This window comes from Homo sapiens, chromosome 7 (assembly GCF_000001405.40).
Source record: "Homo sapiens chromosome 7, GRCh38.p14 Primary Assembly".
NCBI classification, from domain to species: domain Eukaryota; kingdom Metazoa; phylum Chordata; class Mammalia; order Primates; family Hominidae; genus Homo; species Homo sapiens.
In genome coordinates this window covers 8,322,376-8,344,652 of record NC_000007.14, presented here as the reverse complement: position 1 = coordinate 8,344,652, position 22,277 = coordinate 8,322,376, and the positions used below count along the sequence as shown (strand labels likewise).

The 22,277-nt window shown below is 39.3% G+C and overlaps 1 long non-coding RNA gene across 1 annotated transcript in view; it reads right to left on the bottom strand.

Annotated features, from left to right (window-relative positions):
* Positions 1-1,371: 1,371 nt before the first annotated feature.
* The window catches only part of ICA1-AS1 (ICA1 antisense RNA 1), an 81,057-nt gene continuing 60,151 nt past the window's right edge, over positions 1,372-22,277 (bottom strand). The window contains exons 4-6 of the long non-coding RNA NR_125740.1: positions 4,097-4,270; positions 3,427-3,636; positions 1,372-1,528 (exon numbers count right to left, since the gene is read on the bottom strand). This is a non-coding gene — a long non-coding RNA (ICA1 antisense RNA 1). The remainder of the gene's footprint in view (positions 1,529-3,426; positions 3,637-4,096; positions 4,271-22,277) is intronic.

Sequence of the window (22,277 nt, the reverse complement as noted above, 5' to 3'; positions counted from 1 at the left end):
CTCAATGCCAATGCATGAGCAGACACAAGAATTGACCTTGCTTATCCGTCACATATTTCAAACATTCATCTCTTTGTAGATAAATAAGGGATATTAAAAATACACAAAGATATACATTTATATGTATGTAACTATAATATATTATTCTTTATATGAAACCTGATGAAATTTTCAGGCTCATTTAACCAGTAGTCAAATGACCAGGAAACCAGGTGGGAGCTACAGACCAAGATATTTTTGGATAATAGGATGCTAAATGGGAAAGACAGATTAGTTACAAGCATTTGATTCTCAACAGATTTCGTGTCTCCCTCTCTACCCCCATTCCAATAACTATGTCTGCTAGCTATTGAATAACGGGGTTTAAAATCTCCTGGACTATTATCATAGCTGCAGTAGCAATCTTTTAACACGGTGCTTGCTCATTCAACCCCTATTATAATTTTCAGTGAAGTAAAATATCACAAAGTCATTCAAATTCATAGACTAAAGATATATCTATAGTGACAAAGTAAAGTATAGGATAAAATTCATTATCCTGATAAATTGATGAACATGGACAGTCACTCTGAATAATTTGAGCCAAAGGAACTTTTTCCTCTCAATGGTTGGATATTTTTGGCCTGATTTATCCACATAATTGCCTCAGCTCTTCATTTCATTTTGCCCATGTCAACACAACAAAGTCTCTGTACTTGATTTTTGAAAGCTTCAGTATTTCATGTCACGTTAGCAAGTGAGACGCACATAGCAAATTCTGGATGGGGTTCTTGTGACAAATGACTTCTATGGTTTGCACGTGTCTCCTCAATGACAGCTGCTGGGAAGAAACATCACCTCCCAGCTGCACAACTTGATCCCTCTCTCCCTTGTGAATTAGGAGGAATTGAATGTTTGGCTGTAAAGTGGCACTTCGCACTACTCTCGTTGAATATCACAATTGTGCCTGCACAAAAGGAAACAAAAAACCTCATCATTGGCAACTGATGGGAGAAAAAATAGTCCTCTCATTACAGAGATAATAAGCAGGATGTTCCCCTGCAGCCTTCTTTCTTAATTCTCCTTATTGTATTTTATTAAATGATGCAGTTTGAAATTAAGGCTCTGGCAACCTTTGTGCACACTCTGCATAAACAAGCAAAACAGAAACACAGTTAAAAGAGCAAGTATAAACCCCTCCCAAAAGCCATCTGCTTTCTTCTTGTTATGAAACTTCAATTCATCAGCAAAAGTCTAAAGAAAATATTTATAGCAGAAATGTAAGCTGCATTCTGAAGCTGCTTGGAAGCAGGGTTAGTGGAACATTAGAAAACTCAGTTAGGCTGTGTCACTTAGTAACAAATCTAGAACTGGTCATTTAACCTGCCTCATTCACTCTTTCAACCTTTTGTGCGCTTGTCCGTTCATCTGACAGAATTTATTCAAGACCCTCAATGTGCCAGGACTTGTGGTAGGTGTTTCCACATCATTAAATGAAGATAATTGTTATACCAGCCATGTGTACCTCTCCAGGTTACTGAAAGCATTGCTGTAAAATATAAAACAAAAACATCTGTGTTTATTTTCTACCAGTAAGCCACTAGAAGAAAGTATACATTCATTTAGTTACATATGCAAAAAGTGTAAACATGATTATATAACTTAAGGGGAAATTTTATTTTATATATCCACTGTCACAAATTTTTTGCTAATTTTCACCCTGGTTCATCAGATAAAATATATTCCTATTTCTATTCTTACTCATTGCTCTTCTCAGCGAAGGGAAAACAGTGAACCATGCACTATAGATTTTTTTAATGCCATTAGGCAGTCACACTATGTAAACATACAAATAAATATACCATACCTAAGCAATAATACCAACATACACTTCGAGTTTGCTAAGCAAAATGTCACCTTGAACTTCCTTTCCATTTGCCCCACAATTTATACTTCTCCAATACTCACAACCACAGCCCAAAGTGAAATCAGACGGGAACCTGGAGATTTTGTGTGAACAAAAAAGATAACTTCATTTTGTTCAGCAAGTGAATTGAAATGGGGATATTTGTTTTCACAGCATAGTCTAGCCTATCCTAACAAATTCAGAATTTTTATCAGTGATAAGAGGCCAACACAAAGAAACCTGAAACGTGTAGCAATGACTTAGTAATTAGGCAGAGGGCAGTGAAGAATCCAATGTTAGAGGCTGGAAAAAATGGCAATCCATTTTAAGCAGTAGGAAACCATTTGGCAAAAATTAAAATCCTGTGGTAATTTGGGAGGCAGACTGTGGGGCTTCTGAGTCCAACGACTTAGGGAAACAATGTTGAAAGTGAATGTTGGCTGTATTTGGCAGAGGATTACAATAATGAAATAAGCTCAGGAAAACCCTGGCTGGCTTGCAAACAGAAATGAAAGGAATAAAAATCGTTCAGAAATTTGGAAGTTTCTAAGTTGGAACAGTGACTACTTCTAGGCTCTAAACAGGAAGACTTGGCATCTCAAAAGACTGCCACAAAATCACAGTGAAATGTCCCCATTGGATGAAATGACTTAGGATGAGAATCAATTAAGAGTGTAAACAGATTAAGTGTGTGAACTTTCTACCTCTTAGTCAGACATCTTCAACACAGCCCCCATATAGAAGAGAGAGAAATGCACAGAAGTGAGAAAGCAACGAAACAAAGCAGATTTTAGAATTATGCCTAGAAAAGAACTTTAGGTGTGGTTACTACCACATGAAAGTTATTTAAAGCAAATAGATCAGAAGCCTACTGTGTGTTTGAGGGAAATGCATTGTTAAATAAATCATGAGCCTGGACTAAAAAAAGCCACTGACATTTTGAGACTTATAACCCTTAAGCTGCCAATGTTCTGTGGGAAAGAAGTTTGCTGAGAAAACCGTGCAGCCCCAAAGGAAGACGTATTCCCCCTCAACCACTTCAGAGAGTAATGGAAAAGAAAGAATATCTTGGAGGGCACAGATTACAGCCATAGAGGACAATGGATAAAAGAATGCCTCTCGAGGACCAGAACCAAGGCCTAATTAAGGAACATTTACCATCCCCTGCACAGGGGAACTTTCACCATGTCTGACCAGTGAGATGTTATCATTGTTTTGTGTCTCTAATCATCCCCTTTCAAATAGGAATGTATACCATCGTTATTCTGTTCCTTTCCACCACTCTGTATGCAGTGATATAGACAGTGGAGGACAACGATATATGCTTTCTTTCAGTTCATAGGTCAACTGATCAAGAAGAGCCTCATGCAGACATGACAGAGAGGCCCATGTATCCCATTAAGCTTGAAGTAGTGACTAGATTGGACATCAGGATGTGTCCCCTGAGGTTGGATTAAGATGTCTTATGTGGGTGAAGAAAAAAGTAATTGAAAATTTGCTGATTAGAAGGGCAGATGCTGGCAGAGATTGTAAGTGCCTACCAAATATTCACATGTTTTTCTAATTTTCCAAGCCCCCATGCACCTATCAGAGTGGGATCTTGCGACCCGATGAGGCCAGTAGAAAGTAAGCACAAAGGACGTGTAACTTCCACCTCTATCTTGCTCTGCTCTTTGTCTTCCTCTGCTCTGCTGGCCTTGGAGGCTATGTGATCCAGATGGCATAGCTACAAAATAGAGCTTCATCAGATTCTGCATGGGAGAGAAATACTTATTGTTTATACAAAGTCATTAAGATCTGAAGGTTTATTTATTATCACAACATAGCTGAAGTTAGATTAATATATTATGCAATATAAGCCCCATCCTCATTCTCCCTACAAAAGTTTTATCAGGGTCTATGCCGATCACTAGATTTTGTGGTGTGAATAAATGGAGAAGGATAGGTTTGAAAAGATCCCATAAATGTCTATGTTGAAGTGAGCTGAAGCTGAAAACATTAAGGTATTATGTGCAAACACAGACATTTTGCAATGAAGAGCAGCTGATATGCAGGTTATGTTTAACTACGTATCTCTGGGATCTTAATGCCCCTCTCTCTGGATACAGGAAGCAGATTTCAAAACAATTGCAATGGGACATCATAGCTTCATCCTGAGACAGAGTTCAAACACATCCAGGTATGTGTTACATAATGATATGGCAAACTTACAGCAGTGCGTTAATTGGGAGTACAAAAGCCTCCTGAGAAAGAGCCCGTCCTTACGAAGGAAAGAGTTGAGCATCACAAAAGTTGACCCAACCACAAATCCTTTATCATTGAATGAGAGATGTGTTCTGGGCATAAGGTGGCATCTTCATTCATTTCTTTCCCTGGCCCAGGGTCCTGGAGAAACAAAGAACCATAAGTAAAACCTAAAATTTATTTTATTTAAACTTCCTTAAGACATTAGGCATATTGACATAGCTTTAGTAACCATGTAACAGAAAATAGCAAAAAATGAGGAGCAAGGCATTTCCGCAATTTCACTGCCCTCTTTTCAAGAAAAGCCTTGGCATCTTGAAGCACTTGTTGATTCCCTAGTGCAAGGCAGAAAAAGGTAGAAGCAATGACCACCACGAATAGGGTATCAACATGCCCAATTGAATCAACAGCACCCAGTAGAAGTGGTAGTAGGACCCTGTGGGTGTTATTTGGCAAGTAAGATTTTTCATGAATACTCTGGAAATATTTCCTGAAGACCATGATAAATAGTCACAGTCAGAGAGAGAGAGAGAGAGAGAGAGAGAGAGAGAGAGAGAGAGAGAGGATTTTACTGGGTACCGAATTCTTAGGTGAACAAGTGGACCTTACATATCAGTTAACTTTTATCATATGAAAACCCCCGAAACTTACGGGTTTATTACAAGGAGCATTTCTTATTTCTCACAAGTCTGGGTAGAGTGGGCAGCCCCGGTAATCTGGGCTGGGTTTGGATTATCTCATCTGGACTCACTCATGTGTCTGTGATCAGCTAACAGACCAGCTTGAGGTTTGCTGAATGAGGAAGCCTTGACTGAAATGACACAGCTTTCTTCTACCTGTCTCATTCCTCCAGCAATTTAATTCAGTCTTGTCCTGTCAGTGGATACAGGGGTCTGAGAAACAGCAAAAGAGCAAAAGACTTCTGGAGGCCTAAACTTGGACCTGGATCACCATTACTCGCATCCCATTCTGTAGGCCAAAGCAAGTAACAAGGCCACACCAGATTCAAATGTAGACTCCACCTCCATGGGAAAAGCTGCGTAGTCAATTGCATGGGAGGCAGATTCTAAAAGAGCAATGACTGGGGCCTTTTTACACTCAATCTACCATACCTGATATTTTTACTTTTATTGCAATACTCTTCGTGTGAGATAAACTTATAACTCTAGAGTTGGGAGGACCTTAGTGATCATGCTCTACTTCAACCTTCTAATTTCAGAGATAAAGAATTTGAGGACCAAAGTGGTTAAGCAATTTGATTAATGGCTTATAGATGAAGAAGGACTACAAATTTCTTTGATTCAGCTTAGAGCTCTTTCCACCACACTTTACCTTTCTTCCAAGGATACCTTTAGGACAGAACAAAATTTGATTTTGTACTCCATATTTTTGTCCACATTTGCTACAAAACGATTATCTAGAAACTCATCAACTGTAGCCAGCCAAGCCTGTTGGTCTTTCAGCTATGGTTTCCTCACTAGGCCCTGACCTTTTCTACCTTGACCTCCCTTCAGCCATGAGTAAGCTGCCCATGAGCATGTTTCCTGACAGTGAACTTCCATAATCCTAATTGTCTGCCCTGCCCTGGGACTGTTTCTCCCTCTAGGACCAACCTGCCCCAGAAGGTGCCAGCATTTGCCCAGTGATGTCTCATCTAGAGATAACTGCTCCACACACAGTTGCTAATAACTTTAATCTTGCAATGTTCCCTTCCTATTTTGTATCAATAGCCAAATTCTGCCTTCTTCATCTGTAATTTTTCTCCTATATTACAATCTGTATTACAAACCAGAAAACTGAAAGTGTGGTATTTATTTCCTACCTCAAACGATATAAACCCATGTTAACTGACAAGGTATTAAAACAGCTATTCCTCATGTTTTTAACCCGAGTGAGAGGGATAGAAGAAGAGAGAAGGTACAACTTCCTGACAACACAATCTTGATCCTAAGAAGCTGCAACTTGAACATCAGGTACCATCACTCCCTTGGGGGCAAGCATATGTTCAAGTGACTTGTGAGCAGATAGCCCTGGTTTCCATACAAACAGCATGACAATAGGACAAAAAGCTTCAGACTTTAGGCCATTTTTATGATTCATTTCTGTTTTTATGGGCATCCCAGCATAGTTCACCTCATTAGCCATTATAGAGGTTTTAATTCTTGAGTTAATCCTGTGCTCATTCAGTAGAATGAATATTAATATCTTTCTAATGTAATTTTTAATTAAATATAGCATCACCATTATTATACCCAAAAGATCTAAATAGAGTTTGAAAGAGAAGACAGACACTATCACAATAAAAATCAGCAAATTCTGCTCACATCCTTTTCAAAAGGCTGATCACCTATGAAGTAATGAGAATAAATCATGAGATAATGTAGGACAGATCTAATTAAGATAATGAGCTACGATTATGGACATGATTTTCCAGGGTTAAAGATCCTAACAAAAGGCAATCTATGGATATATTTTAAATATCCTCTTTGGTCTACTTACTTATATTAGCTATGCCTCTTAAAAAAAGGAAAATATTCATCAAAAGTAATGACCCCGAGTCTGCTGCAACAGCAGGGTTTTAACTATTTTGCTATCACTGATGCATTTAATACTTTGACATGCTCTTTTTGGGGGGATATTTGACTGGAACATATTTTTTTTCCATCTTGGCATTCAAGGGGAAACAGAGATATTACGATCAATGCTCTCCCTGCACCTTGAAAGCTATATTAAAAAGATATTTTGATTTGACTAGCACAGATTTGGATGGATATTTCTGGAAGAAACTAATTAGCCTGGCTTCAATAGCAGTGGCAGGCAAGACAACCAGGGGAAAGGAGCAATTAAGTTTTGTAGGTATGCCTGGGTGCCATCTCTGCTCCCTGTCCAAAGAGACAACTCAAGGGAGAGAAAAAGTCCAGAAATAAGAACGCTTAATCCTTGGTCAACATTGTTAATAAGCAGAAATAAATATTTCCTGAGAATTGTTGAACTGCTGCAGGAGAGACTGGAAGGATCTCTTGGCTGTATTACTTGATAGAGATTCAACATTGCTCTTTGAAAAGTAAGGCACATTGACCGACACCCACTAAAGCCAATAAGTGGAAGGAACTGCCATCCAAGGGGTGGAAACAGTTCTCCCCATGTCCTGTGCCCTATCTACAGTGGCTCTCAAGGTGAGCAATTAAATCTCACTGGCGATACTTGTGCCACAGTGGATCCCAGGCCCAGAGTCAGCCCCACTAGCATGCTGTTCACAGTTGCTATTATTTGCAACAAGTAGCATCCTACCATGGATCTGTTTCAGACCATGGGGCATGCTCAGCTCATTACCAGCATGGAAATTGTAACTCTGATGCTGTGCGTGACTGCAGTGGCAGTAGACTTCTGGGGTCCATTAACTCCTCAGCTCCAGGACCTTTTAGTGACAAGCCTGTGTGGCTACCTCAAGTGGCTCTTCACCGAAATCTTGAGAGCCTAAAAATCTTTGAAAACAGTGGGCAAAACAAAAGGATGAAAACAACGTAATGATGCATTTGAAAGCAAAGTTGTTGATTCCGTGTTCCCTGGATTTTTATTAGATTTTGCTTTGCATTCCTTTTCTCTATTATATAACCTCTCCCTCCCATCCCCTCATCTCTCTCTCAATCTCTCCACACCCTGTCTGTGTGATATCTCAGAAAGCATATTGCCAATAAGTCAGAAGACTTGTATTTCTAGTACTGGCACCAACTCTTACTAGACGTGTAGGTCTGAGCAAGTCACTTAACCTCTCTGGTCCTCCATTTCCTTAACTCTGTAATCTGTCATCTTGTAGGATTGATGTGAGATAATGACATGTAAGGACATTGAAAATGATAAGCCTTTACTCTGTATATTCTCTATAACATAGCACTGTTGACAAGATGTTCCCACTGCCAATATGTTCCATGGTAGATAAATTTGAGTAGCAAAGCCACTAGATGGAATGCTAATAACCAGTGACTGATACCTTGAAGAAGTAAAATTATTATTTTCAGATTTGCCGTATCTCAAATGCAATCCTTAGGACCCTGGTGAGAGATCTGAGGATCTGGGAAGAGGCTTGAACATCGGCACTGCAACGAGAAGTAATGGAGATGTCTTTTCTAAGGACCTATATCTATCAAACACATTTTAATAATGTTACTCATTCTTCTTACTTTAACACTTCCGCACATCCTATTCATTTTCCTTCCTCTTTCCTCTCAGGATCAAATATGATACAGTACAAAGAGTATTATGGACTTTGTAGGCAGAAAGATCTGGCTGTGCCACTTAGCAAGTTATTCAACTCTCTAAGCTTCAGATTTTTCATCTGTAAAATGGACTCACAGATATGGTCATATCTACTTTAAATTAAAAGTACTTGGTACATGAGTGTTACGCTCCACCTGTGGGGGATTGTTAGCAATGCAGTAAACAGGACCCTCTAGGGACAAAATTCCAAAGTGCTATAATTGGGACCCTCTCACCTCCCTGTCTGGACTTGTTCCTCCTGACAGTTGGCATTCCCTTATTCTAATCCCCTAATTTGGGTGGTGTCATGCACCCTTGGCTGTCTAGTTGCCACTATCCAGTAATTGCATATTCTCCCATATCCCAAAACTAGTTCCTCCCACTTCCTCCAAACTTAAGATGAGCTCAGCTATTTATTACTCTATTTAACATGAGGTTGAGAGTGACTGGCAGCCCACTAACTCCCACAGGTTATTTTTCTTTTAAATTACACATCCGTTGCAGTGCTCGGGTAGAGTGGTGACACTAGACACGCAGTAGAAGGGAGGAAAGCTGCCCATTCTCCTGGGCTTTGTATACAGGAGATAAACACTTTCCAGAGAGGTACTTGCCAGTCAATCCGGATGACTATCCCTCTGCCTGTAAGGTCAATGCCAAGCTGAGCCTCCCTCTATCCATACTCTCTACACTATCATCTATCAATCAAGCTATCATCCAGGACCACATATGCAGCATGTCCAAAACTCAAATGATTATATTTCCAAATTTGTATTCCCTATCCTAGTGATAAACTGCTGGTAACTCAAGCCTGAAATCTGGTAGTTACCTTGACACCTTTCTCTACCACACTTCTGTCCTAGTTCAAATCCTGGTTTCTGGCAATGACTTCCCAATTAGTCATTGTTCCCCTAGTTTTTCTTCAATCAGCTCTCAATGAGGCAGAGAGAATGGTCTTTCCAAAGAGCAAATCAAATAATTTTACACTTCTGTTCAAGCCCTTATATTTGTCCCTCTGGCCTATAAGACAACATCTAAATTCAGAGCCTGTGACCCTCAGACTTTTGAGTCCTGTGCATTTTCTCCAGTCCCCTCACCGGTTTTCCCAGCATCACACCTGTACTCTGATTTGTTAAACATCTCCAGGTCTTGGCATATGCTTGCTACTCAGAAGGCCTTTTCTCCCTTCCCTGCTTCGAGAACTCCTGCTCAGCCTTAGGGATTCAGCTTGAGAGATACCTCTCTCTGGGCTCTCCCTGTGCCTTCCCCACCACTCACCTCCACCCTACTCCTTCCCCATCCCACATACCCCTATTTTATACAAATCTATTTTATCATGACCAACATAGTGTGGTTACAATTATTTGCTAACATATTTGCCTTCTCAACTCATTATGGAAACTTTAAAGACAAGAACTCTTCCTTGACCATCTCTGTGTCCCCAGTGACTGTCATATCATCATTGACCATAGTTGTCCCTCCAAGCCTCTTGCTCCCTCTTCTAGTCATATACATTAGGGCATCCTTCAAGCAACTTTGTGGGGACTTAGTGGCAATGGAAGAAAGCCTGCTTGGGTATTCAACTTTTACTTTGCCCAACACTAGTTGGAGAAATAAAAAGAAACAGTTGGAAGACAGTGGGAAGTAATGGAGATACTAGTTAGTTGTCTGAGTGTCTGAAGTAGTAGTTTATAACCCTAGAAAGCATTGGTACTTACACGGGTCTCGGGATTGTTGATTTCCTATTTTCTTTACAGGGCCACTCTTAGTGCCTAAGTGTCCAACCCTTGTCTTTCTCTCCCTCCAAATGGAGTTTATTTAATCATGTGTTACAAGAAGTATTCTGTCTCTATACATTACAGGAGCTGTAAATTTTGAAAATCTGGTTTCAGTTGAAATGAATTTATCCCAGTGTATTGCCTCAAGATATCTCAATATCACATGACAGTAATACCTGTCATATTTTGGCATTACATACAATGTTATTCCAAAGAAACTATAATTTGGTGTTTTTACCATGATTTTGTGCATTATTCACATTTCTCTGACGTTTGAATCTCAGGGTTCTATATCAGTGCTTTGTTGTTGATTTAATTGCCATCTAAGGCACTTTAATGTGAAAATCATGTCTCTCTTTCTGCTGATGACACCTGTTGTCTTCCCTGTTGAAAACCTTTATTTGGTACTATTCTACAAAGGGTAATAGCAAACAAAAGGTACATCGAGGATTTATTCAATTTATATTGAAATATCAAACTGATAGCAAAAAATGTGGTTGTAAAATATTTATTCTTCAAACCCACACGATTTGTAAACCCTTTCAAACCAACTAGAAATATAAATTCATCCTGTTTCTCTGACCTCCATTATTTATGTGTGTTTACCACCACATAAAACAGAGGTGGTTTTCTTGGCCATAGAGTACAGTATATAAGATCAATTTAATTCAAGGTTTTGCCCATTTAATTAAATAATAATTTCTGTTGGGAGGTATGGGAAGGAGATACTTTCACATATATGTGCATGAATGATTTGTTTGTCTGAGGCTTTGGTGGATGTCGCTGCTGTTGTTACTTACTCCATCTCATATCTCATAGCTGAATTTTATTAAACATGCTCTTATAGCCTGAAAGGATCTTTCTGCATTCTGAATATACTATTCTATATTGTATTGATAACTATTTATTAAAGGTTTATTTACAACATTTAGATGCAAAGGATAGGTTCTAGTCAAATGAGTCCTAGTAGGATGAACTAACTGTATTTAGCTTGAATCTCCATGAATAATATTAGCGATGACCGTTCAACCAGATATTTTTATGGTGTGGGATTAGTGATACCCTAAACCGGACTCTTTCTAACTTTATAACAGATGTTCATTGCAAATGTCTATTTTCCTTAACATTCTGCCTCTAATAACACTGCAAAATACCCCTACATAGGAAGTGCACACATAGTCAAAAGCCATGTTTCCTTAATAGCTAAAGAAGAACATACAAAGTCTTGGACTCTTAGAAAAGAAAGAGAAATGCTGACTCTCCAGTGCTCAGGTGGCCCTGAATCAACTAAAGCTGGATGATTGCTGGATCAACAGACTCCCAGAGGCCTTCAGCCATTTTCATGTGAAAATTTAAATTGATTGCTGATCCTTCAGCTCTTGAAAGATGGGTTTTATCTTTTTTTTTTTTTTTTTGTAGAAAAAAAATTTTTTAAGAGGCAATGCTTCCTTATGGAATAGAGTATTAGAGTATTTTTCAAAAGTGGAAGGCAAGGGGAGGAGCAACGTTTTTGTTGTCGTTATTATTGTTGTTTTTTGTTTTTTGTGAGATGGAGTCTCGCTCTGTCCCCCAGGCTGGAGTGCAGTGGTGTGATCTCGGCTCACTGCAAGCTCTGCCGCCTGAGTTCACACCATTCTCCTGCCTCAGCCTCCTGAGTAGCGGGGACCACAGGCACCCACCACCACGCCTGGCTAATTTTTTGTATTTTTAGTAGAGACGGGGTTTCACCGTGTTAGCCAGGATGGTCTCGATCTCCTGACCTCGTGATCCGCCTGCCTCGGCCTCCCAAAGTGCTGGGATTACAGGCATGATATAAATAAATGAAACTATACACCATATCAATTCTCTGAAAATTAAATTAAATTATATTTCCAGTGCAATCCCAATCAAAATTCCAGCAGTCCTGTGTGTGTGTGTGTGTGTATGTGTATGTGTGTGTGTGTAAGTTGACCACCTGAAACTCAAGTTTCAATAAAATGTGACAGACCAAGAATAGCCAGTATAAGCATAAAGAGGACATAGTTGGAGGATTTCCTCTACCAATTATTAGGACTTATTATAAAGCTATAAGAACTAAGCGAATGTGCCACTGATACATAATAGACAGATCAACACAGGGCAGAGTGGCCAGAACAAACCCATACATATATGGTCACTTGATTTATGACAAATATGACACTGTAGAGAAGTGAGGGAGGGTCATATTTTCAAAAAATGGTGCTGAGTCAATTGGGTATCCATACGGAAAACAATGAAACTTGACCCTTACTTCGCATCATATCAAAAACTCAATTCCAGGTGGATTGTAGATCTAAATGTGAAAGGTGAAACAATCAAGTATCTCAAAGATAACATAAAAAAGCAATTTTGTGACCTTCAGGTAGTCAAAGATTTATTTAACAACACAAAAGAACTCAAACCATAAAGGAAAAATAGATACACTGGGCTTCAATAAAGTTAAGAAGGCCGGGTGCAGTGACTCACACCTGTAATCCCAGCATTTTGGGAGGCCAAGGCGGGCGGATCACGAGGTCAGGAGATCGAGACCATCCTGGTTAACACGGTGAAACCCCGTCTCTACTAAAAATATAAAAAATTAGCCGGGCGTGGTGGCGGGCACCTGTAGTCCCAGCTACTTGGGAGGCTGAGGCAGGAGAATGGCGTGAACCCGGGAGGCAGAGCTTGCAGTGAGCCGAGATCACACCACTGCACTCCAGCCTGGGCGACAGAGCGAGACTCCATCTCAAAAAAAAAAAAAAAAAGTTAAGAATATCCACTTATCAAAAGGCTCTACTAGTAGAGTGAAAAGGCAAGTCACATGGTAAGAACATATATTTTTAACGCTAATAACAAAGGGCCAGTATCCAGAATGTATAAGAACACCTACAAATCAATAGAAATATGCCAGACAAACAGGCAAAAGACGAGAACAGACACTTCACAAAAGAAAATATCCAAATGGCCAATAAACGTATGAAAAGGTGCTCAACTTTTCAATAATCAGGAAAATGCAAGTTAAAACCACAATGATTTTGACATACACACCAGAATGGATAAAATTTTAAATACTAAGATAACTAATGTTTGCAAAGATTTAAACAACTAAAACTCTCATATACTACTTGTGGGAATGTAATTTGTTACAAGCATTTTAAAAAATTCATTGGCATTGTCTATTAGTCACATGTATTTATGTGATCCAGAAAAACCACTCCTAAGTTTATACCCAACAGAAGTGTGAATCTGTGCACACAAAACAGCTTGTACAGGATATTTTTAGAAACATTATTCTTAACTGCAGAAAGAGGAAAACTACCAAAATATTCATCAACAATAGAATGGATAAGTTGTGATATAGTCGTGCTGTGGAATATACCTATCCTTTGCCCGATGAACTTTAATTCATTCCTTAAAACCCTGTCACTAAATCAAAAACATTAAAAGAAAAATATTTATATTAGTTTTAATGGAAAAAACTAATATATTTCATTCTAATCCTAATAACCCAAGATATAAGATCCAGATAGAAAATAATAAATTGAATAATAAATTTATATATGTAAAAAACAATAGATTAGAATAGTTTGCACATAAAATGTAATGAAGGTTTTTTGCATTCAGTCTTTTTTCTTCTTTCTACACCATTTTCTATAACAATTTTTCAACATTTGGGGGGTTAAGCGTTTCTTGCACTCAAATGGCACTGATAAAGTACGGAAAAGCAAAATAGAGGGCAAAATAAAGCTAAATGTGAGATCCCTTTGAAACAAGTGGAAATGCCACATCCACTCAACACAATGAAGAACTACTGAAATAAACCACCTCTTTATCCCTCTCTCATGGCATGTACATGCAAAACAACACATTTGGGTTCATGCAAATGTGTCACACAATTAGAATTTGTTTCATGTGACAATCTTTGGTCAGGAACAACTGTGTCAAGATTATTGGTGAATGTGTCTCCTTGAAATCATTGTCAAATATCACTTCCTACAGCATATTTATTTAGTATATTTTACAGTGAAAAAGTCATTATACTTAATAAAAAGGAGTCATTCCTTAAAAATAGTATAAATTTCTAAGAGTCATCATAATGAATATTATTAACTGAACAGTCATTAGATAGGGGAAGTCTGAACTACAAGCAACTAAAATGAATAATCAATTGCCACATGAAATAACATGGATGAATCTCAAAAATGTATTTTTGAGGCAAAGCCACATGCAGAAAAAAAATGTGTACTGCATGCTTCTGTGCCTATGAAATTCAAAACATGGAAAACTAATCTATGGTGTTAGAAGTCAGAATAACAGATACCTCTGGGGAAGAGGTCATTCAACAAAACTAGGGCATCAGCCCTGATTCCTTTCTGAGTCTGAGACAGTAAAAAATATTGTCGTTCTGTATTTTTGCTTGACTTTGTTATTCTCCAAGGTACAAGACGTAATTTTGTATAAAATATTTGTGAGATTCAAATAAAAGTATTATTAATGTCTAAGAATTAATTCAGCAAATAGATTATTTTAACATAAAGAAAATGAGGTTTGGAATAAAGAGCTAATTGTTCCTGGTTCAAACTCCAGTTCCATCTGTTTATAGCTGTCTGACCTTAGGCAATTTACCCTCTCTGAGCCTCAGTTTCCTCAAATATAAGTTGGAAATGATATTAGTCCTCTACTAGCTTGCTATGGATACTACTACCATCAAAAATATAAAAGGACTAGGTAGATAGAAAATTTTAAGTAAATGTTATTTTCTTTTCATCTTCTGCATTTATTGGGGGTTGTGGTGGGGTCAACCCCCAATTTGTAGCCTTCATTCCTTCTTCAAAGCAAGGCTGGTAGACTTGTTAAATCAACTAATGGTACAGATGAAAGAAAGAAGCATCTTGAGTTCAGCCAAAAAAAAATTTTTTAAGTGCCAAGTGAGGACACCGAAAATTCACCATAGAACTCCTAAGAGCATAAAACCACACGAGAAAGAAGATAACTTATTTTACATAGATAAAATATGATATTGGTGCTTGCAATTATTTGTAAAGGCTCATTTGAAAGTCAGATCCTTGAAATATATCATAATTGTGTTCATATTCACAGTGATAATGTAAATTTCTATTTTTATTTCCACTGTCAATTAAGTTTTCTGTCTTAGGGAGAGGTTTGAGTCAGTTAAATTCCTGCAACCATAATAATTAATGTAAATCCATCAACCTCACTATTTTGAGATTCTCAGTGAGCACCTCGCAAATTCAGCACTTAGAAAAACTGGAGAAAATTACTGAATTCGCCTGGTCACATTTGAAGATCCCACATTAATAAAAAAAGTCAACATTAGAAATTTTTCTGATCTCTTCACATTATATCCCAGATTTAACAGGACAGCAAATGAAAAAGTAACCCTACCTTATTCCCCAGGGACTTATTATATTACATTTTTCCCAAAACCAGATTTGAGATTCTCTAACTCTCAGCCTATTCCACCTTGCTCACTGGGTAATGGTTGTTCTACTGGTTGGTGCCGCTGGAAGCCAAAAATTTACTTCTTTGCTTATGTAGTCTGGTCACCTGGGATGCTCTCCTCTCTACCTCAACTACTGTCAAATTACAGCTCAGCTGTGCTGTCCCCTCCAACAAATCTTTCTTCCCTCTGCACCAAGTCCTCATTGATGGCCTTCTTCAGAACTCCTACCATATTTTAATTATACATCATCTTGAATTGCTCCATATTATGGGTTTGTCCTATATCCCTAATCACATCGTAAGTTCTTGCATGACAGGGATTGGGTTTCCCTCCTTGTCTGTTTCTCCCGCAGCCTCTAACACAATTCTGAGCACCTAATAGGGCTGTTGAGTGAGGATGCCAGTCTAGGAACAAGAAGAATGTCTACATTCGCCTGCTGCAAAAGTTGCATATGGCTAAACTCATCTAAAATCACCCCATGACTTGTCCACAGAAAATCAAAAGCAGAGTGGAGAAGAGAGGGGGAAGTAAACGCTCACAAACCCAGACAGAGAAGCCCTTTAATCTTGCTTGCAGATGTTCTAAGGTTTACATACTGCATATTGTTGCTCTTTTCATCTTTCCTTGTCTGGGAGATGAAAACGATATTGTTGTTCACCCTGTTCCAAGTCCCTGAGCGCTAACTTGAGTGAACCTCAACAGCAGGCTACGTTGCACACTGGCTTCCAGTAGGTTCCAACGCATAGCATCAGCAGATTAGAAAAAGGAAACCGAGATCGTTTTTTCTCCACCTTTCTCCCTAAGGAGTCAGAGAGAGAGTCTCTCCACAAAAGGTCTCAGCAGCCCTCTCCACATAGCCTCACTGGGTCTAGGTCCTGCTAACTTCCCTTACTTACTCTTAGACCTAGGAGCAGTAATGTGAAACCTTCCCACCTTAGCCAGTGATTTCTGTATACTACCCTGCCCATGCATCTGTAAAATTATCCACAAATCATTCCATTTGAATTGGCTGTTTCTTGTCAAAACCTTGTGTGATACAGATGTTTTACTTGGGACCCTTATAATTTTAATATTTTAATATTGATAATATTTACAGTACACTTCCTTGTTTCTCTAAGTAAGTGAGTGCACATATTACATTGTGCCCTTCTTTTAATGATTCATGGTCATCACCTGGACTCTCAGAGATGGGACCATTGTTTATCAGCTTGTAGCATCCACATCTATGCTGTGCTTTTCAAATATTACCTCATTTAATCTCCCCTCCTCCCCTCACCGAAAAAATCCTACAAGATGAGTCTGATAAGTCCCTTTTACAGAACCAATTTCTATTACAGCTGCTAAGTAATAGAAATAGGACAATGAACTCAAGAGTGTCTCACTACAAAACCTGTGTCCTTACCCAGTAAATGAAATCCCTTCCCTACCACACTGTACTACCTGAAAGAGCTAGTGAGTTGTGAAGATCTATTGATTCTTACACTAAATGACTCATACTGTTGTTCTTTCTGAATTGCAGTGATAATTTCATTCCTCCTTTAATTGATTAAAAAAACAATCTGCAGCCCCAATACTAATCTGACAGTCACTGCACTATCTGTACATCTGCCTGTAGCAGCCAGCCTTGCGTGTCTACTTTGCCACTCATAATCTGCTGTAGGCCAAGTAACATAAAACACACCCCAATTAGTGTTGTGTGTGTGAAAATAAGAGCGAACATTTTTTTAACGCAGCCTGAGAGATTTTGAAATATGGGGTTTGTGAAAGCTGTTTTTCATCACTCAGGAACTATATAGTACTATATTACATTTTAATGTACAATAAAAATCATTGTTGGAAGTCCAAGCTGTATCAAGAGGATGCACATAGACTCATCAGTTGACAGTGTCCCAGCTGAGCCCAGACTTCAAGTCACCATCCCAAACAACAAACATGTGAGAAACGAAGCCTCCAGATGATTTCAGCCTCCAGCTAATCAGTCACCCCAGGCATTCAATTCTTTCCAGCTGGGGTCTCAGACATCATGGGGAAGATAAGTATATTAATAGATATAGGTAACAAATAAGACTGTTATATGGAACTCTGGAAAGCTAAGTTGAACCACTTCCTCTTCCTTCTTCCAAGCCCATACCTGAATATTTCTTCTTACTACCCAAAGATCAGCAACATGACAGGGCCAAAGAGAATGAGAGAAAACAGAATTTAACATTGCTCCAGTGTGGAGCAAGAGGTAGACAAGAAAAGTGCATATCTCTGCAGAGAGCCACATCTGTTAATAACCCCACCATGAGTGGCCTAATTAACCATCTAAATATGCAATCAAAATAACATTTTCTCCTTTTCAGAAATGAGGAAGGGATGGGAGAAGGGAAGATTTTCCTAGAATAAGGAGCTGAGTGAAGAACTTCCACTTCACCCTATGGATCATTACCAGCTGTAAGGTAAAATTGTATATGTTTGTTCCCATTTTGCTATTTATTACTATCACTCAAAGGAAATGTGGCTTCTTGAACTAGTCAAATTGATAATGTGGATTTTTCAATGTCTATATGTATCAATATACTCTCATGTCCAAATCCTGCCTCCTATGTTTGAAACATGGGCGAGGTTGGTGACAGCCTTCAGTTAGAAATGTTCCGTGGGTCTGAGTCAGAAAGAAGGTGCATTGCCATGGCAGGTCCAGTGTTCTTTACCAGAATGGAGCAGGGTCCACACGCAAAGGAGTGAAGGGCACAATCAGGAAGATAATAGCACAGGACTAAGGCAGAAGGTGAGGGTGAAATGAGAAAAGTAGCATTCGGTAGTTGGATGGGGGAGTGATGAACAGAGCAAGACAAGATGTCACATGTGTTATCACCCTTTTAATGTGGCACACGGTACTTGATGAGACGGCAGGCAAAACTGGTCAAAGGTGATCATGGGGTCAAGCCCCGACATGTTCCACTTTGAAGTGCAGACACCAGAGGTGATTTGGGAGCTGGTGGCATCCAAGGCAAAAATAAAAATTAAAAATAAACAAGGTGATTTCTAGGCACAGCGACTGCAAGAGCAAAGGCCATGAGGAAGGAGGTGCCCAGCATTCAAGGACAAGCAATCAGACCAGTGAGACTGGAGCAGAGAGAAGAGTAATAAGAGATGCACACAAAGAGCACACAGAGGTTAGACAATGCAAGACCTCAGAGGCTTTTTTGAAGACTCAGGGTTGTACTCTGGATGACATTGTAAACAGCTGGAATGTTTACAGGAGATGAATGAAATTATCTAACTTCTTTTTAGCAGAATGACTCTGGCTACTGTATTGAGAATAAACTAAAAGGGGCCAAGTTAAAGCAAGAAGAACAATCAAGAGGTTAGGGCATTATTCTTTTGGTAATGTGGCCCAAGCAGTGGAAGTGAAGAAAGTATGGGTTCTGAATATATTTTGAATGCAAACCATCAGGATTAGCTGACAGATTAGATGTGAAATGTTCCCCTTTCTTGGATTATTTTTCTTCATAGCACTTACCACCTTCTGACATAATACATATTTAATTTTCAATGTTTTTATTCTCCATCCACGTAAATGAAAGCTTCATGAAGGTAGGGATTTTCATGCCTGGAACATAGTAGGTGCTCAATAAGTAGCTGTTAACTAGATTAATTTATCTGAAGTATTTAAGTAACTCTATTAACAATTTTTTACCCTTGTCACATTCTCTTCCATTTGTAAACATTAGTTATCATAGGTTTGATCTCATTGGTCCACCATGAGTCATTTACCACAAGTGAATGTACTTTAAGTTGATCTACATTGTTTAGAAAGTGCCACCTAAATTATTTCTGTGGCTTGGTTGCCCTGTTCCGCTAACTGGCATACACAAACAGCTGTTGATGTGTAAGACATGGAATTAGGTCATTGCTGAGTTCTAATCAACTTGATTTAATTAGCATGGATGTCAGTGGTGGACATTTACAAGGGCAGATGGTATAATAACCACTCTTGTGTGGAGGTAATGTTGTGCCCAATTTCTGTCTTGAGTGCATAATCTATTGATGAAGCTGTGTTGATGTGGCCATATAGATACCAAGGACAATATGATGAGGTCAATTTGAGGGGATTACTTTGAAGCAGGAACATTGTGACACTGTCCAAAAACCAACCACCAGATTTTCACCTTTGTTTTCTACCAAACAATGAGCATCATTTTATCTCTAAGATTCAAGGGCTGACGTTGAAGATGAGACAGATCAGAAATGGGCTGAGGGATTGGCTAAGGTTAGATTCTATGTTTAAGAACTCATGTTTCCCACACTTGCATATCTTAGAAAGGGACACCAATGATTCTAAGTGGAATTGTTGTCATTCTCTAAATATTTACCTATATCTTGAATGATCTGCATGTTGAATAATCATTGCTTTTATATAAATTTCTTTGGTTCATAGTGGAAGTTGTTCTATTTTTCATGTGAGAGGATGGACTCCTTTGCTTCAGGACAATGCTTTCTTCTTGTTAATGCCAGCCTCATTTGATTAGGTTGCTATTAGACCCCAGAGATGAGGGAGGGAAGAGAGCATGTCAGGGCAGAGAATATTCCCCAGTCTCAGTTTCAGACTCACAGGAAATCCTCAGTTGAGTTTCTAATGGTTTTCTTTTCTTTCTTTCCTTCCTTTCCTTTCTTCCTTCCTTCCTTCCTTCCTTCCATCCTTTCTTTCTTTCTTTCTCTTTCTTTCTTTCTTTCCTTTCTTTCTCTCTTTCTCTCTTTCTGCTTGTTTGCTCTGTCACTCAAGCTGGAGTAGAGCGGCATGAACATGGCTCACTGCAGCCTCAAACTCCTGGGCTCGAGAGATCCACCTGCCTCAGCCTCCCAGGTAGCTGGGACCACAGGTGTGTGCCACCACATCTAGCTAATTTTTTTTATTTTTTGTGTATACAGGGTCTCACTGTGTTGCCCAGGCTGGTCTCCAACTCCTGGCCTCAATTGATCCTCCTACCTCGGCCTCCCAAAGTGCTGGGATTACAGGCCACCACAGTTGGCCTCTAATGGTTTTCTTTGTGGTCTCAATTATATCTGGAAATTGTGTGATGACTCCTTTTTTAAAGAGCTGAAGTGCTGGCATCTACCTTCCAGAGGCAAAGAGATGTACACCTGACCATTCCTCCAGCCAGGCCTTGTCCGTGGGTAGACATCACAAGGACACAAATGGCCACCATGAGTCACAGCCACAGGCAACGTTCAAGCAATTCTTCACTGGAGAAGTAATAATTACCAAGGGGGCCATCCTGGGGTGCCTGTGCATTGGCAGGAGAAGTGTTGGGAGACTGAAAGGAAAGGAAGGGAATCAGGGATTCAGGTGTTGTGGTCACTGGTCCAGATCTCTTATAGCCTCAGGTCACACAAGACTCATTCTTCTCCTTTGATGACGAGTGTGGGATGGGGAGGATCATGTGGAACAGTAGAAGGAAGACCTGACCCTTCCCCAGGCCTTGCCGGGACATGGCCTTCTATCCCCAACTCTTCCTCCTTTGCTTCACTTCTTGTGTCCATCTCCCTTCAGCTCTCCCCCTCCTGCAGTTTTGCCCCACCTCCAACCAGGTTTCCCACCTCTCCCTACTGACACACTTAGGAACCCACTGATCCCTTCAGGTAATTCCCAGCTTGGAAAACAGACTGTAAATTGCTTTTCACCTCTGCACTGAGTGTTGCTCAAAAGAAGGAAGGAGTGGGTTGTCCTCATTGTCCTCTAAGCAAGGGCCTTACCTCCTTCCCCTTTCCTCCACTGAGGTGGGGGTGTGACATGGTTGGGACAGATTCTCACTTCAACATGTAAAAGCAACACAAAGAACTCTTATCAAAAGACAAAATTACAATAAACTTAGCAAAATGATCTAACTAACTCTTATTTGCAACTCACGAATTAGGGTGACGTCTCCTCTAAAACTTTAGAAAAGGTGCTCCATTCAGCTGACCAGGGGAGTTTGGCTTTATAGGCAGAAAAGGGCTGAAGAAAGCAGAAACTAGGATCAAAAAGGGGGTTGCTTAGCATCAAGTTACCTTCCTTGTAAGGTTAAAGCAGAGAAGACTTCCTTATCGTGCTGGCTAAACTGGTCTGTTTGGAGATTTGACTATTATCTCTCTCCTGATTACCTGGAAGATCAGATAAACAACTGTTTCAGTTTGGTAACATGAAACTTTAGCATGAGAAACTCCATTTTGGTTGGTCTACTGGGGCCTACTGCAGGAGCTCAGTCCAAACCCATGGCCTCCTGTAAATTTTATTTGACATTCACTCTAGGGTTACTTTTCTTCCAAAGCTCTTTGTTTCATAACAGAAATCCATATCTTCCCAAATAACTTGTCTTTAACCTTATTTTTTACAGACACCTTTCCCACACCTGTCCTACATCACATTACAGTGTTTCCCACATTAACTTTAGAAGACAGAGAATCCCTCTCAAACCTATTCTCACATGTAACGTGGTTACAATATACTTGACATCACAAAACTCATATGTAATGCTGTTTTGCATGTGCATGTGAACAGAATTGATATCTGTATTTGTTTTCTATTGCTGAATAATAAAATACAAAAAATTCAGCAGCTTAAAAGAACACACATTTATTAGCTCACAGATTCTGTGGGCCAGGAGTCTGAGGACAGCTTAGCTGGATCCTT